We start from the raw sequence: 17920 nt of genomic DNA on the forward strand, positions 1-17920 counted from the left end.
TTCTTAACCCTAGAATAAGCAACCAAGTGACCTAAGTTCCCAATTCACAGATGGCAAGCCAATGGTTAAAAAAAAAATACATTTACTCTTACAACCATTTTTAGGACCCTAGAATTTACCATCAAATTGTCAGTAAAAAATGAAGCTGGGCCAGGTGGAGTGGCTCATGCCTGTAACCTCAGCACTTTGGGAGACCGAGGCAAGAGGACCTCTTGAGGCCAAGGGTTCTTGCTATGTTGCATAGGCAACATAGCAAGACCTTGTCTCTGCCCAAAAAAAAAAAAAAAAAAAAAAAAGCCAAGTGTGGTGGTGCACACCTACAGCCCCAGAGACCCACAAGGCTGAGGTGGAAGGATCCCTTCAGCCCAGAAGTTCGAGGCTGCAATGAGCTATAATTATGCCTCTATACTCCAGCCTGGGTGACACAGCGAGACCCCATCTTTACCAAAGAAAAAAAAAAGAATGAAGCTGGCATATAGTCCAATGGTCAGAGACAATGACTTGAGTAACTCAAAATCCAATTCTGCTTTTCTGGCATTATATCAAATTAGGAAAACTATTCCCTTCCTTTAGGCCAGTAGTTCTCAATTAGGGGTGCTTTTGCTTCCCAGGGGACATTTGGCAGTATCTGGGGGCATTTTTCGTTGTCACCACTGCGGGAGAAAGGTGCTACTGGCATCTCTTGGGTAAAGGCCACAGAGGCTGCAAAACATCCTACAAGGCACAGGACAGCCTCAACAACAAAGCAGCATGTCAACAGTGCCAAGGTTGAGAAACTCTGCCTTAGACAAATCACTTAACTTCTACTGACTTTTAAATTAACCACTGACACTGTTAGAAAGTACAGCAGTAATGCATAAACGTTAAGTTTATATTTGCTGGTTCACATTTATTGGATTAATAAACATGCTGGGCGCGGTGGCTCATGCCTGTAATCCCAGCACTTTGAGAGGCTGAGGTGGGCGGATCATAAGGTCAGTAGTTCGAGACCAGCCTGGCCAACATGGTGAAACCCTGTCTCTACTAAAAATACAAAAATTAGCCGGGTGTGGTGGCAGGCGCGTGTAATCCCAGCTACTCGGGAGGCTGAGGCAGGAGAATTGCTTGAACTCGGGAGGCGGAGGTTGCAGTGAGCCAAGATTGCACCACTGCACTCCAGCCTGGGTAACAGAGCAAGACTCTGTCCTGGGAAAAAATAAAAAATAAAATAAAATAAACAGATAATTTATTTTCGATTCCCTATAAACTGAATATTTCTTCCTTAGTAAATGGAGCACAGACTAGCATCACCTTTTCTGCAACATAAGTAACAATGCACATGTGCAAGATTTGCATAAAGTAGCCTCTGCTTCTGGCTATGACTGAGAGCCTGTGGCAGACCAGAGATCCCTCAGAGAAACAACTCCAACAGCCAGAGAAAATTAAAAAAAAAAAAATTTTTTTTTTCAAAGTCTGAAGACTTTGGAGAACTGTGGAAGCTACTATGACTTGAAGAGACACAATCCGGAAGGGTAAACCCTTTAGGAGCAAGCCAATATGCCACAACTGCTTTGCCCCTCAGGGAATCTGCCAATGCTAGGTGCCAGGAAGGAGGCTGAGGAAACAGAAAAGCAGCCTGGGAACATGACCAGAGCCACTATTCACAGGCAGAGAAACCAGCAGAGCTCATGGTAATGTCTCAGGCCTGAAGAAAGAAAAATAGAGACAAGGGCCTAGGATTCCTGTGAAAAGAACTGAGTGTTTTACCCTGAAGACATTTTACAAAATCCCAAAGATGCACAGGTCAGAAGGCTGAAACCAAGCAGAAAGCCTCTGAATAGCACAGCAGGTTTCTTCACCAATCCCATGTACTAAGAAGACAAAGATTAAAGTTCAGGACACACCGTGGGGGACAAAGATTAAAGTTCAGGACACACCATGGGGGAAGGGCCCCAGTTCTTAGCCAGAACTCCTGCAGGGTACTTCCAAAGAGTAGAGGCAAACCAAAAAGAGATGGAGCCTGACCAAAACCACGCCCTTGCTGTGGTCAGCTCAGACAAGATAAATGGAATCAGCCCCCATTCTATTTGCCTAGCAAATGGTGTAAGCCATCTAGATATTAGAAAATCATCTAGGGTCGCTACAATTTTTTTATATACAATGCCCACTTTTCAATAAAAATTAACAGGCATGCCAAAAGATAGGACAAAATGAGTGTCAAGGCCGGGTGCAGTGGCTCACGCCTGTAATCCCAACACTTTGGGAGGCCAAGCCAGGCAGATCACCTAAGGTCAGGAGTTCGAGACCAGCCTGACCAACGTGGAGAAACCCCATCTCTACTAAAATTACAAAATTGCCAGGCTTGGTGGCGCGTGCCTGTAATCCCAGCTACTCAGGAGGCTGAGGCAGGAGAATTGCTTAAGTCCGGGAGGCAGAGGTGGCAGTGAGCCGAGATCGTGCCATTCCACTTCAGCCTGGGTAACAAGAGTGAAACTCCATCTCAAAAAAAAAAAAAAAAAACAGGGTGTAATATTTTAATATTGGGTAAGACAGAGCAAAAAAAGAGAATGATTGATCCAAAAGCTATGCCATCAGAAAACATCTAGACTGAAAGCTGGAGGAGAAGGAAGGAGAATAGAAAAATACAGATTTGTATTGAGTGCTAGCCTGAGAAAATGTCTCAGCAAAACAGTGTTTAGGTATCCATTGGATGATACATGCAGAAATAAACACAGATGTCACCTCTTTGACAATTATACAGGATTTATGTTACTTGATTTCCAAGTAACAAAGACAGCAAAATAATCAGAAAAAAAATATTTAGACTCAATGAGAAAGATAAGAGAGATCCTTAACATACTGAGGATGAAGAACCTGATAATTCTTAGCTCACTCTCTTATCAATCTCAAAGTTAAAATGATCACGGGAGTGGTGTGATTCAATGGATCCGTTTCTGCCCCGTGGGAACTACAATTTCACAGATACAAATTTGTAACATCTTTTTTGATATCTAATCACCGATGTGAAAATTTTTAACATTTTTAAACCGTTTTATTATGAAAAATTTCAAATATACAGCAAAGTTGAAAGGATTTTACAGTGAACTCCCATATACTCACCATCTTGATTCCACTATTAACTTGCTTATCACAAATATATCCATTAATCCATCTTACTTTGTGACCTATTTCCAAGTAAACTGCGGAGATCAGTATACTTCCTGCTAAACACTTCAACATGCATGTTAATTAATTAGATTTTTTTTCCCTTCTTGGTGTAAAAGTTCATGCAATGAATAGGTGTGCATTTGCGGAGTTTGACAAATGCACATACCTGTGTAATCTAAATCCCTATCAAGATATGAAACATTACAATCACTCCTGAAAGGTTTCCCAAGCCCCTTTCCAGTCAATCCCTACCCTTATTTCCCTCTCTCAGAATAAATGTTTTTTTGTTTGTTTGGAGACGGGGTCTCGCTACGTTGCCCAGGCTGTCCTGGAACTCCTGGCCTCAGGTTCTGAGGAGCTAGGTCTCTAGGCATACATAGCACAAGTGTTTTTGTTGTTGTTATTTGTTTGTTTGTTTTTGAGACAGTCTCCCTCTGTCACCCAGGCTGGAGTGCAGTGGCATGATCTCAGCTTTCTGCAACCTCTGCCTCCTGGCCTCAAGCAATTCTCCTGCCTCAATCTCCCAAGTAGCTGGGATTAGAAGCACACACCACTACACCTGGCTACTTCTTTTGTATTTTTAGTAGAGACAGGGTTTCGCCATGTTGGTCAGGCTGGTCTCGAACTCCTGACCTCAAGTGATCTACCTACTTCCGCCTCCCAAAGTGCGGGGATTACAGGCATGAGCCATCATGCCTGGCCACAAGTGTTATTTTTAACCCACGGCACTTTGAACAATCTTCAAGTCTCTGGTGTGAAGAGACAGTCTTAGAAAAGTAATGTTTAAAAGGGATAAATAGCCAGGCATGGTGGTGCATGCCTGTAATCCCAGCTACTCGGGAGGCTGAGGCAGGAGAATCACTTGAATCTGGGAGGCGGAGGTTGCAGTAAGCCGAGATTGAACCATTGCACTCCAGCCTGGGCAACAACAGTGAAACTCTAACTCAAAAAAAAAAAGGGGGGGGTGACAATTATATTTTAATTATAAAATAGTAAATGAAACCATATTCCTGAAGCTAAATTTAATACTTACAAAAAGTTGCAAAAAAGTTATATCTGTTACATCTTTAAATGCATATAAGCCATTTAAATGGTATCAATCTAACAGCTAATTTTCAATGAAATGTTTAGTCTCAAAGAAGGCATACCGATTGATATGTTCAACACAAGTATTCTTGTTTCCTAAAATTCTATTTTTATGAATTCATGGAGACACAAAATATCCTAGAGAAGAATCCTTACCCTGAAATTGCAATTTATCTATAATTTATATTCCTTGAATACCTGGGTTTCCCTTCTGCATATAACCAAATGGAATCCTTTCTTGGCAAGAATGGATTGCTGCCTCTACTGTGAACTGTAGTTACCTGGCTCTAACTGGCAGACAGATAATTTAACGTAAATTAGCAGATTATGCCTGTGCTCTGGTCCTAGAATATTATTTAAGAGATAGCAGATAAGAGTGGTAAATGATCAACCGGGTGTTTGCTGAAACTTCCTGGAGGGTTAAGTAATTTATTATTAATTTTTGAGACTAGCTATAGATGGGAAAAATGAGTCATTCTGATTAAAATGACGGTGCGGGGCAATCAGCCAGCTTTAGACACTGCTCCTATATCAAGTACATGCCAGGCCAGGAGCAGGGGCTCACGCCTGTAATCCCAACACTTTGGGAGGCAGAGGTGGAAGGACTGCTTGAGCCCAGGAGTTTGAGACCAGCCTGGGCAACATAGTGAGGCCCTGTCTCTACAAAAAAAATTTTAAATTAGCCAGGCGTGATGGTACTACGTAACTGTAGTCCCAGCTACTCAGGAGGTTAAGGTGGGAGGATCGCTTGATCCTGGGAGGTTCAAGGCTGCAGTGAGCCATGATTGCCACACTGCACTCCAGCCTGAGTGACAGAGTCTCACAAAACAAACAAAAAAAAACCCACACGCCAAAACATGTTCTTCTGCAGTATATGGTAGAGTCCACATTTTCTTACAGGACTGAAAACCTGACAGTCACTTTGCCTCTAGACTACAGTTTTAACATTTTTAGTTAGTATATAAATCTGTACATATAATGTAAGCTCAATTACGTTTTTGAAAAATTACACATACTCCCCTAAAAAAAGATCCAGAAGAAAAAGCACCAAAATGTTAACAGTGTGTTATCTTTGGGTTATGAGGTTTTAGATTGTCTTTATTTTCCTTATGCTTCGCTGTATTTCCCAAATTTTATACACTGAATGTATTATTTTTAAAATCCAAAATAAAGATACCGGGGAAAAAACAAAACCCTAGGCAGTGACTGACCTGTAATGATCACCAAATGACTGATTTTATCACACTGTGATTATGAAGCTACAATGAATGAATGCCCTTTGTCCTGATTTATCCTTGCTGCCACCCAAAGGTACATATAACCTGATTCTCCTGGCAACAACACACCTTGGCATCCCACTTACCCCATGTCTGTAAAGAGGCCTCAGACAGTAATTCAACCATTTAAAAACTATGTCCCCTACAATTATGCTTTCTCACTATCTTCAGAGTATTCTCACCTACTGTTTTTTTTTTAATGTATTCACTGTAGTGTGCCTTATAAAAACAATAGGTATGTTGAGTGTGCTGTTTCTATTTATACATAAGCCTTTCACTCCCATCCAAAAGAAAACATCCCAGCCTGGGCAACAAAGTGAGAGCCTGTCTCTACAAAAGAAAAAAAAAAAAGTAGCCAGGCATGGTGGCGCGTGCCTGTAGTCCCAACTACTCAGGAGGCTGAGGCAGGAGGATCACCTGAGCCCAGGAAGTCAAGGCTGCAGTGAGCTATGATCGCATCACTGCATTCCAGCCTGGGTGACAGAGCGAGACCCTGTCTCAAAAAACAAAACAAAACAAAAACAATAGAAAATATCTTGGTATCACCATATCATCATCCAATGCCAACTTTATGAAAATTCCTGATGTAAACTGGTGAAAATCCTTGGAATAACAACTAGAATGGGACTCAGTTGTAGTGCTGGCATTGCCTAGGAGGCTGAGTATATCCTTTAAACCTTTCCATGATTCTGTTTTCCCACCTGTAAGATACAGGGGTAAGCCCAATAATTTTGAGTATCCTTTCCACTGAAAACCTGTCACACTGCCTCTAGACTACATTTAACGTTTTTAGTTAGTATATAAAACTGTACATATAATGTAAGTTCAATTATGTTTTTGAAAAATTACACACACCAAAAAAAATTATCCAAAATGTTGCGATTCTTCAGATCCTGTTGTATCTTACACAGTCATGTGCCGCATAATGACGTTTCAGTCAACGACTAGCTGCATATCCAATGGTGATCCTCTAAGATTATAATACTGTATTTTTACTATACCTTTTCTGTTTAGATATATTTAGCTACACATTTACTTACCTACAGTATTCAGTACAGTACCATGCTGTAGAGATTTGTAGCCTACGAATAATAGGCTATACCATACAGCCAAGGGGTGTAATAGGCTATACCATCTAGGTTGGTGTAAGTACACTCCATGATGTTGCCACAATGACAAAATAGCTTAACAACGCATTTCTCAGGATGTATCCCCATACTTATGCAACATATGACTGTGTTTGTGAATTCATCCTGAAAACACATCTGAGATTATAATCTCCCAATAGTCAGAATATCAATCACGGTAGCAATAACACTGACTGCATATGCTTGCCACCACAGGGACTTTGCTAAGTTCTTCACTATCAGGTAGAAACTAATATCAATTCCAATGAAGAAACTGAAGTTCGAACAGAATGGTCCAGTAACTGGCCCAAAGTCACCAAACCAGTAAGTTGCAGAGCGGGGACAAGAGCTAAGAATCATTAGGCTCCACAGCTCATTGCAGTTTCTCTCTCCAAGGTGCAGGCTAATTCTCCTTGTCCTAAACAACACAACACAGTATCTCTACCTTGCTGTTTCTAAAGGCCCTAAGGTAGATGACTAATAGGGAAGCTCTCTACATCTGATTTCTAGGAGTCTAGGAATTCTGAGTATAAACGTCTTCACTATTCATGGTTACATATCATCAAGAAACAAGCTTACTTTCGCCACCACTTTTTAAGACATTTTCCAAAAGCCTGCTGGCAGCAGTGTGCGCTTATGCTCAGGTGACTAGCTAGGCCCCAGAAGTTTAGAGAACAGTGCAAATGAGGTTAAGGTGCCAGGTGGACTCCAGGGCAGGTATGCAGCTTTGCATAAAGAACAACTCTTTGCATAAGGGGTAGCCTCAGGGGAGGTTCCCCAATCCCAGAAAGTGACCTTACAAATGCCTACCCACAAACAGTTAATGAAGGGAACAAAGGCACAACAAAATTAATCTCTGCACCTGGAAGATAACTCAAAGTGACAGGATGGACACCTCACTTTCGATAATTAGCCACCTCATTAGATTTACAAAAAAATAACAGAAGTGAGATGACCTGATCAACTAAGCTAGCAGAAGTCTAAGCCACTCTTCCTTGAAAAGCAGACAGCTTATGTAAACGTACTTTTTATTAACACCCTAATTTTCACATTTATTTCCAGAAAGAAGTTAGAAAAAGTATGTTCCTCATACTTCAAAGTGCCCTTTCTGTATAGAGAGGCGATGTGCCTAGATGGGAAAAGAATGGGTTTACCTAGGCTTCACACCTACCTACCACCGATTTGCGCATCTATTTTTCTTTTCCCAACTATAACTTTTGAAAGTTATAGTTGGGAAAACTGTAACTTCCTCTTCCTAAATCAAAGGCAAATCAAAGTCTGGGCACGGTGGCTCACACATGTAACCCCAGCACTCTGGGAGGGCGAGGTGGGAAGGTCACTTGAGCCCAGGAATTTGAGACCAGCCTAAGCAACACAGGGAGACCTAGTCCCTACAAAAAAATTTTTTAAAAAGTAGCTACTGGTCCTAGCTACTTGGGAGGGTGAGGTGGGAGGATCACTTGGGCCCAGGAGGTAAAGGCTGCAATGAGGTGTGATCACACCACTGCACTCCAGCCTTGGTGACACAGCAAGGCCCTGCTGAGAAGGGAAAGGGAAAGGGAAAAGGAAAGGGAAAGGGAAAGGGAAAGGGAAAGGGAAAGGGAAAGGGAAGGCAAGTTTGCTCTAACACAACTGATAACACCTGGGAACAATATGCGCATAACCTGAACTCTGCCTTTGCATATGCACAATTTCATCCACGAGGAAAACCCAGAAAACTACACCCAGCTGGAAAGACAGACAGATACACACACACACACACACACCCCTGAAGCATCTACCAGCTACTCAGTTCACCAAGTGGGTGCCACACACATCTGATGTTAGAACTCTCAATGCCATTTCAGAGAACCCTCCTTCTACCACTTCACAATAACTCAAGCTGCAACCCTGCTGATGCTCACTTCTATGAGCAAACCACAGATTTAGATTTTCAAAGTGCCATATTTACAGTATTCCTTAACTGCTTAACATGTGAACACCTGCACTGTTTTCATTAGGTTCTTTTTTTTTTTTTTTGGTGATGAGTAACTAATGCAGTTTTTGCACACCTAACTCCAATTTTTCATAATCTCTATGGCTTTTATTGAACAATCTGGCATAGTGCAGTAATTTTTTTTTTTTTTAGACAGACTTTTGCTCATGTTGCCCAGGCTGGAGTGGCACAACACACAACCCCCTACACAATCCCCAGCCCCTTTCAGAATGTCTTCCACGGAACTGGTCCCTGGTGCCAAAAAGGTTGGAGACCACTGCTTTATATGGATTAACTCATTAACCACAGGGTGAAGTGAACCTATCATGACAGTCTGTTGTGGTTTATTTTTTTTTTTTTTTGAGGTGGAGTCTTGCTCTGTCGCCAAGCTGGAGCGCAATGGCGCAATCTCGGCTCACTGTAACCTCCACCTCCCGGGTTCAAGCGATTCTCCTGCCTCAGCCTCCCGAGTAGCTGGGATTACAAGCATATGCCACCATGCCCGGCTAATTTTGTATTTTTAGTAGAGATGGGGTTTCACCACATTGGCCAGGCTGGTCTTGAACTCCCGACCTCAGGTGTTTGGCCTCCCAAAGTGCTAGGATTACAGGTGTGAGCCACCGGGCCCGGCCAGTGTGGTCACTGTTAGAAATGCTTATGCCATGTTATAGCAGAACTATTTAATATAATCACCTTTGTAGAAAAGAATAAACTGCATGACATTAATGATATTCCCATTCTGTACATACAGATACCTTTCTAAAGGGTGGGGGTGGGAAAAGAAAACAACACATTGAGTTTCAATCTAATCATTTCCAACAACTCAGAAGCAAAGAAATATGCTGAGTTTTCATTATGTCTAATGCTTCCATGTGGGATCTTCCAAAGGGCTAAGAAAGCCTGGCTCAGCCTAGAGAATGCCACACAAATTAACTACAGATTTAACTCCTTTACCGATGCAAAAGGCACGCTGTGTCACACAGCTGTGTATGAAGAAACAATGGAAATAATCGCAGTAAATGTATATAGTTAATGTGACCAGGGTAGCCCAACTCTTTGGTCCTGCTCAATTGATTTGACCTATGTCATAACAGACTCTCAATCATTCAAAGTTTACTCACTCTTGACAAACTAGAGAAAAAATAACAATCTAGAGAAAAATAATTACTAAGTCCAAACAGGTTTCTGAGAAGAGCTTTATTCTACTTTGTGGAATCCAATCAAAGAAAGAAAAAAACTAATTAGACATACTGTTGTAACATTTAATGAGATTTGAAATTCATCTATTTAAATTTATTAATAGTAAAGGAATGAGATTAAATAGACTTGACATCGAAGGGGCTAGAATTTCCCATGAAGTTTTCCACATTATCGGTAAAGACAGCAGGTATGTTTTCTTTACAGCTTTCAAGAATCCCTTGCCAGAAATAATCTTATATTAAGACAGGATGTTTCGTTATAGTGGGGAAAACAGAACTGGCCAGGAAAAGATCTTATAGCAAAGAGATTGTAAAAGATTATTCTAGCACAAATACAGATTTAAATTGCTGCCATCCTTTTTCTCCCAGCCCAGCAATTCCTGAGGTGCAAAATTTTCAAATATCTGTGTATACAATGACAAGGACACAAGTGAAAACACTTGTGATGAAAGGGTTATGAATAAATTACTGCAATTTCCTTTTATCAACCAAGTTGATTTAATGGTTTAAAAATATTGTTCAACAGAACAAAGGTGGTAACATTTGTTAGATCCTAATTAAACGTGATTCATTCTGGAATGTTTCTGATGACACAGCTTACATAAATAATCTACTGGGAAGTCTACTCAAAATTCACAATGAAGAGTCGGTTTTTCACACATATAATACAACCTGAAACTATAGCTTCAATCTATGCAGATGGTTTTACTATTTTAATTATACAACTAATTAATACCAAAATTAGATCGATGTTGTTTAATTTGTGGCTACTGAGGAATGTTACTATTCACAAATCACAAAATCTGTGCCAAAATAAGTCTTCAAAGGGATATTGTTGCCTCCTTACCCTTCTAAGCTTTGCAGTGGGCTTTGGTCAAAGCTGACATAAACAGCTAAAGAAATTAACAACAGAGTCTCAGAAGACAAGGCCAGGGGAGCCAAAAGGACACAGGTGCTACACACCCAGGCAGTTGTTGTCTGCTCCCAGAGCACCTGACTTCAGCAGCCACAGCACCTGCTCCTCAAGCGCAGCGGCGCCTTTGAGGGAGCACAGCCTGGAAGGTTTACCCTTCGCAGAGACGCTTGCTCTTGGACTTCTGGCTGTACATTCTGAGGGTTCAAATGAAGGATGGGACAATGGGAAAGCTTAAATCCTCTGGAAACGTCACTGTGATCAATGGCTTCAACCCTCCTCTACCTCATACCAGTTCACTGGAGCTGCTAACACTAAGTTTCCTTCTTTATCCGCCCATCTCTATTCCAGTGGAGCCCCGTGATTAAGGGATGGCAGAGGAAGGGGACATGTCCTTTTTTTTTTTTTTTTAACAGAAAAACACTCATTTAGATACCTGGTTTAGTAAGACATCTGAACAACATGAAACCCAACTATGTAAAAGCTTTAAAAATCCAGGTTATGAATTAGCCTAAACCTGTGCTTATGTTCCATTCTGTTTAGAGGAAGGGGGATGGAATCCCTTTCACCTTTATATTTTTCATGACAAGTCCATGGTCACATCAAAAATTACTTTTGTCTTTAACACAGTTGAAATTATTAAATGTTATCTAGACCTAACCAAATCCTATTTCCTTAATGTTATATTCAGGACAGTGAAAAAAATACTGTTTTCTTTTAGCAAAGTCTGACTTTTAAGGCTCAGTTTTTACCTGATTAAATAAACTGCCCCTGCTTTTGAGGTTAGAAAAATTACTTTTGTTCATGGGGTCCATTATACTGTACTATTAAGTTTACTTTTATATGTTTGGAAATTTCCAGCCGGGCGCGGTGGCTCATGCCTATAATCCCAGCTACTCGAGAGGCAGAGGCAGGCAGATTACCTGAAGTCAGGAGTTCAAGACCAGCCTGGCCAACATGGCGAAACCCCATCTCTAGTAAAAACTACAAAAATTAGCCGGGCATGGTGGCACGCACCTGTAATCCCAGATACTCGGGAGGCTGAGGTGGGAGAATTGCTTGAACCTGGAAAGTGGAGGTTGCAGTGAGCCGAGACGGTGGCACCACACTCCGGCCTGGGGGACAGAGCAAAACTCCATCTCAAAAAAATAAAAAAAGAAAAAAGAAAATTTCCATAATAAAATGAAACTCTTAAGGAAAAAACTGCTTTGAACATAAAGCCAACCCAAAAAGTAGCTCTTACCTAAAGTGAATTTTCCCTAGTGCCAAATGAAATTCAAATAAATCCCAATCTTCTAATTCACACAAATCTTAAGATTTCTAATACTTTAAACCAGAATGAAAAAGTCAGGTATGCCAAATTAACAATCGAAGAGAAAATTAATCCCACACCAAAGCCAAAACATTGAACTTCCTCCCACTCTCGCATTCACACACACACACAAGCATGAACCACACAATGAAGGATTCCAGTTGCCCCATCCAGACAACTGGACGCACATCACACACCTCCTAGTCATCCAGGGACCATCTTGGCAGCCTGTTTCTCATCACTACCTGCCACCCTGTGCCTGTGTTGTGGACGAGGAAGGCACGGGTAGTAGCCTAGCTTTTTATTTTTTTAAATCTCAGCAATAGAGGCAAGGTTATTTCTACCTTACATCCAAGAGTATGGAGCACAAGACTAGCTGTTTATTAATAACATGCTTATTTTCCACACCAACCACACGGTTTTCCAATTTCACAAAGTAAATACTTCCTCATCCCTCTTTAGAAAAGATGAAACAATTTATCGTAGCCTAAGCAAAAACCACCTATCAAAGCAAAGACTGGCAAGCAGATTCAAGACATAAAGGTATAGCTTTTACTATAAATTTGAAACCAACAAGAAAGCCATTAACCTAAATATTTTTCTAATCAAAAATCAGAAATGACGTTAATAGCAACATATAAGAATTACTGTATCTACCACACTTAGAATGTACTGGGGTAGATGACAATGACAATCAGTACTGATTGCCTTATGTTTATCAACTTTTTCATCTACATTTCAGGTTTCAGTGCAAGACAAACCATTAATACATTCATGACTAGCCATTTCAAAGCATTATTGTATACATACTGTACGACACAAAGTGCTTAATTGTAACTTAAAAGGTTAAAACCCATCTTGAATCCTAAATGGGCAAAAAAAAAAAAAAAAAAAAAACCCCACTAGTCATTTGCCCACAAACCAGGCCCCATATAACCATCAAGCATCTGACTGCATCGGACATGATTAATCTGAAACTGTGCTATGAATCATACAGCAGTCCTCCCTTATCTTCAAGGGATACGTTCTGAAATTCCCCAGTGGGTGCCTGAAACTGCAGGTAGTACCAGATCTAAATACATTGCTTTTTCCTATACACACATACCTATGGTAAAGTTTAAATTATAAATTAGGCACAGTAAAAGATGAATAACAATGTAAAAGGAAAATAAACTTGGGGACCCCAAACCCACTAAGTCAAAGAGAAAAGTCAAGGTAGGAACGGCATCATGCAAACCTACCTCCCTCACAATCTGCCCAATAGGAAATTCCTTGTGGACCTCAACATCCTTACCCTACAACCACTCTGCTGAATTTCACCCTGACAACGTAAATTGACAGCTTATCTTCACAGGTATAGGACAAAGGACAGAACTTAAAGTCATTCCTCTGCTTACCTGAGACAAATGCATAATCTCATCACTTCCTCTGCCCGGTAAGTATATTTTGTCTTATGTAAAAATGCAGATTCACTGAGCTAGATGAATGCATAAGGGACTATTCCTCCGCTGCCCCCCACCCTTGCCCGCCACATGTGAATAGCTGATCAAAGACTCAAAAGAATGTAACCATTTGCCTCCTATCTACCACGCCTTCCTAAAATTTCTCCCCCTTTAAATACTGAAGCCCTCAAAATCATCTTAGGAGAAAGGCACAGACCTTGGGCCTGGGTGCATGCCCTTAACCTTGGTAAAATAAACTTCTAAATAAATTGAGACCTGTCTCAGATACTTTTTGGTTTGCAACAAATATAAAATGGTTTTACAATTTGGTTTACAACAACAACAACAACAATAAAATGGAACAATTATAACAATAATAAAAGTAATTAAGTAAAGTTAATTTTTCTGAGAGAGTCTCACTCTGTTGCCCAGGCTGGAGTGATCATGGCTCACTGCTGCCTCAAACTCCCAGGCTCATGCGATCCCAAGTAGCTGGGGCTACAGGCATGTGCCACCACACCTGGCTAATTTTTATTTGTATTTTTGTAGAAACAAGTTTTCCCCCAGGTTGCCTAGGCTGGTCTCAAACTCCTGGGCTTAAGCGATCCTCCAGCCTCGGCCTCCCAAAATGCTGGGATTACAGGCATGAGCCACCACACCTGGCCATAAGATTAAAATTCAAAAGTATTACAAATAATAAAATTAAAATAAGGGTCACTTGAACACAAGCACTGTGACACCACGATGATGATGTGATAATCCAGACGACTACTAAATGTGTATACAGCGTGGGTATGCTGGACAAAGGAATGACTCACATCCCAGGCAAGACAAAGGGGGACAGAGCAGGATGGTGAAAGATTTCATCACGCCACTCAGAATGGTGCACAATTTAAAATTTGTGAAATGTTTATTTCTGGAATTTTCCATTTAATATTTTCAGAACTCAGTGAAACCACAGAAAGTGAAACTCTGGATAAGGGGGTGACTACCTTATTCACTATCATTCCTGGCAATTAAAGAATGTTAACTCCAACTGAACACCAGATGAATTGGCCCTCAATTAAACACATCTGTCCAGAAATATAAAATCACCCAAAACTAAAAATTTACTAAAGTGAAGCATGCTCCTTAGAAGACTTAAAAAATAACAGTGATACACTGTCTGCTTTGTTCATCACTGTATCCTTCAAGTCTAGCACACTGTAGGGGTGTTACACAGAGATTAATGAATTTAGCTATAAGAAAATAGCAAAATCAGGCAAATGCAAAGATGAGTTTGTAATTTTTTCTCTTTTATCACAGGCACCAGAACATAAAAGTTTTCTAAGTACCCACCCCTGCCTTTAATCACCATTTTTATCACTCACATTTAGATAAATACATTTGCAGTTCAGCTGATATCAGAAAAAAAAATATGTATCAAATTGTCAAATTTTACTAAGTCAGAGCTGTGGGAGTCCAGCAGCTTTTACACGTTAGATTTTTCTATTTCCTCATTCGTCAGCATTTGACATCATTTTCTGATGTTATAAAGGATAACAGAAAAAAAAACCCTGTGCACACATCACGCCCCTCCTAGTCATCTAGGGACCATCTTGGCAGCCTGTTTCTCTTCACCACCTGCCACCCTGTGCCTGTGTTGTGGACGAGGAAGGCACGGGGAAACAGAATATTCTGGTGAATAAAGCATTACTAATTTTCAAAGAATTAGAAGGCAAAAACAAACAAAAAAAACACCCACAATACCAAACTGAAAGTCATGCCTCAGGGTCTTTATTGTAACTACTTAATACTAAACACCAAAACATAAATGATGCTGATTAATGGAGATTTGGGGCTAAGAAAATACCAAACAGGCTAGGCGTGGTGGCTCATGCCTGTAATCCCAGCACTTTGGGAAGCCAAGACAGGTGGATCAGGTGTTCAAGACCAGCCTGACCAAAATGGTGAAACCCCATCTCTACCAAAAATAAAAAAATTAGCTGGGGGTGGTGGCATGCGCCTGTAACCCCAGCTACTCAGGAGGCGGAGACAGGAGAATCACTTGAACCTAGGAGGCAGAGGTTGCAGTGAGTTGAGATCATGCCATTGCACTACAGCCTGGGTGACAGTAAGATTCCACCTCAAAAAACAACAACAAAAAAAGGAAATACCAAACAAAATGTGCTTTTCCCTATCTTCGAAATCATCATGTCTTTTCATTCCTGTATGGCAAAAAATAAATCCCGTGTCGCCTGCCGAATCCGAATCTAAATAAATGAATAAAGACAGAGAATAATAAAGAAAGAAAACAGCTTCAAACTTAAACACGTTAGAGCAAGAGAAACAAACAAACAAAAAAAACCATGACTCCTGCTTTCTCAAAAATCACATCAGTAGCTTATAAAGACCTTCATGGGCAGAAAAAGAATGGGCACACTGTAGGGAGCAAAAGGTAAGTGATAATATTTACAAAGTAGTGTATTTTAAAAGCATAAACAAAAAATTAGGTAAATTGGGCCTCATTAAAAACTTTTTTGTGCATCAAAGGACACTATCAGAAGTGAAAAGACAACCCACAGAATAGAAAATATTTGTAAATCATGTATCTGATAAAGGTTTAATATTATTCAGAATCCGTAAAGAACTCCTAACAGGCCGGGCATGGTGGCTCATGCCTGTAATCCCAGCACTCTGGGAGGCGGGGGTGGGAGGATGGCTTCAGTCCACGAGTTTGAGACCGGCCTGGGCAACATAGGGCAATCCCATCTCTACAAATAATGTAAAAATCAGCCGGGCTTGCTGGCACGCACTGGTGGTCTCAGCTGCTTGGGAGGCTGAGGTGAGAGAACTACTTGAGCCTGAGAGGTTGAGGCTGCAGTGAGCCGTGATAGTGCCACTGCACTCCAGCATGGGCAACAGAGCGAGAGTCCATCTCAAAAAACAAAAAAAAACCCTAAAAAATAGTGATTACTGGCCAGGCGCGGTGGCTCACGCCTGTAATGTCAGCACTTTGGGAGGCTGAGGCGGGCGGATCATGAGGTCAGGAGATCAAGACCATCCTGGCTGACACGATGAAACCCCGTCTCTACTAAAAATACAAAAAAATTAGCCGGGCGTGGTGGTGGGTGCCTGTAGTCCCAGCTACTCGACAGTCTGAGGCAGGAGAATGGCACGAACCCGGGAGGCGGAGCTTGCAGTGAGACCAGATGGCGCCACTGCACTCCAGCCTGGGCGAGACTCCGTCTCAAAAAAAAAAAAAAAAAAAAGTGATTACTGCATAACATTATGAATGTAATTTATGCCACTAAACTGTACACTTAATTACTTAAATTACTAAAATAGATACATGGCAAATTTCATATTTTACCACCAAAAGAAGAAAAATGTACAAAGTAGATTTGGAAAAAATTAATTCAGTCACTTCAAAATCAGGATTAATTAATTCCTTTCCCCAAAGTAAATGCAGTCCAACGACCAAGAGGCTGGTCTGCCCAGACAATAGTTTCTTCTTTCATTTCATTAAATATTTAAGTACATACAACGTGCTGGGCACCATCCTAGGCACAAGGAAATTACAATCCAGAAAACTTCCCTCTCATGACTATATAGATTATGAGGATATGGGTCAAATGAGCTTTTCTAAAAAAGTTAAAGCATTAAATGCTTTTATTTAAAACATACAGATTCAGCCGGGCATGGTGGCTCAAGCCTGTAATCCCAGCACTTTAGGAGCCCAAGGCAGGTGGATCACCTGAGGTCAGGAGTTCGAGACCAGCCTGGCTAACACGGCAAAGCCGCATTTCTACTAAAAAAAAAAAAAATAGCCAGGGGTCATGGTGCTCGCCTGTAATCCCAGCTACTCAGGAGGCTGAGGCAGCAGTATCACACGAACCCAGGAAGCAGGGGTTGCAGTGAGCCCTGATCGCACCACTGCACTCCAGCCTGGGCAACTGAGTGAGACTCCATCTCAGGAAAAAAAAAAAAATACAGATTCAAAATAACTATATCATGAATCCTAAAGTCAGTCTACTATCATTTTTGGTCTATCTGGTTTGACTTCCTTAGGTTGGCAATTCTGTCATTTTTCTGAACAGGAATAAAACATTTTTTTCCTTTTTCAATTACATAAGCAAGACACAACACAGTATTTAGGAAAACACTATTTTATGACCTTCACCAGCCAAGTCTACCAATCAGCAAATACACACATCCTGATCAGGAATACAATTTAGGCTTGGTTCCTGAAAGTAGAACTTAAAATGGGATAATGAGCAGCTCTGTGAGGAAAAAATAACCCTGTCTCTCCATCTTCCCAAGCTTATGATTGTTCAACACAGTAGAATTAAGAAGAAGGTTTAAATGTCAATTATCCATACTTTTAGGACTACTTGGGAGGGGGTGGAAAAAGTTACCTCTTTACTGATATTTAAATATCCTACAACTTTTTAATAAAAATA

General features: G+C 40.8%; 1 protein-coding gene across 1 annotated transcript in view, besides 1 other annotated feature; it reads right to left on the minus strand.

The window, feature by feature from the left end:
* The window catches only part of B4GALT5 (beta-1,4-galactosyltransferase 5), an 80934-nt gene that overhangs the window by 53512 nt on the left and 9502 nt on the right, over nucleotides 1–17920 (minus strand). The window lies entirely within an intron of this gene.
* Nucleotides 1277–1376: a silencer, noted in NCBI's record as "silent region_13001". NCBI's record gives its function as "represses an Ori minimal core promoter by ATAC-STARR-seq in GM12878 lymphoblastoid cells {active_cell/tissue: GM12878}" and the evidence as "EXISTENCE:reporter gene assay evidence [ECO:0000049][PMID:35858748]".

Source organism: Homo sapiens, chromosome 20 (genome assembly GCF_000001405.40).
Source record: "Homo sapiens chromosome 20, GRCh38.p14 Primary Assembly".
NCBI classification, from domain to species: Eukaryota; Metazoa; Chordata; class Mammalia; order Primates; family Hominidae; genus Homo; species Homo sapiens.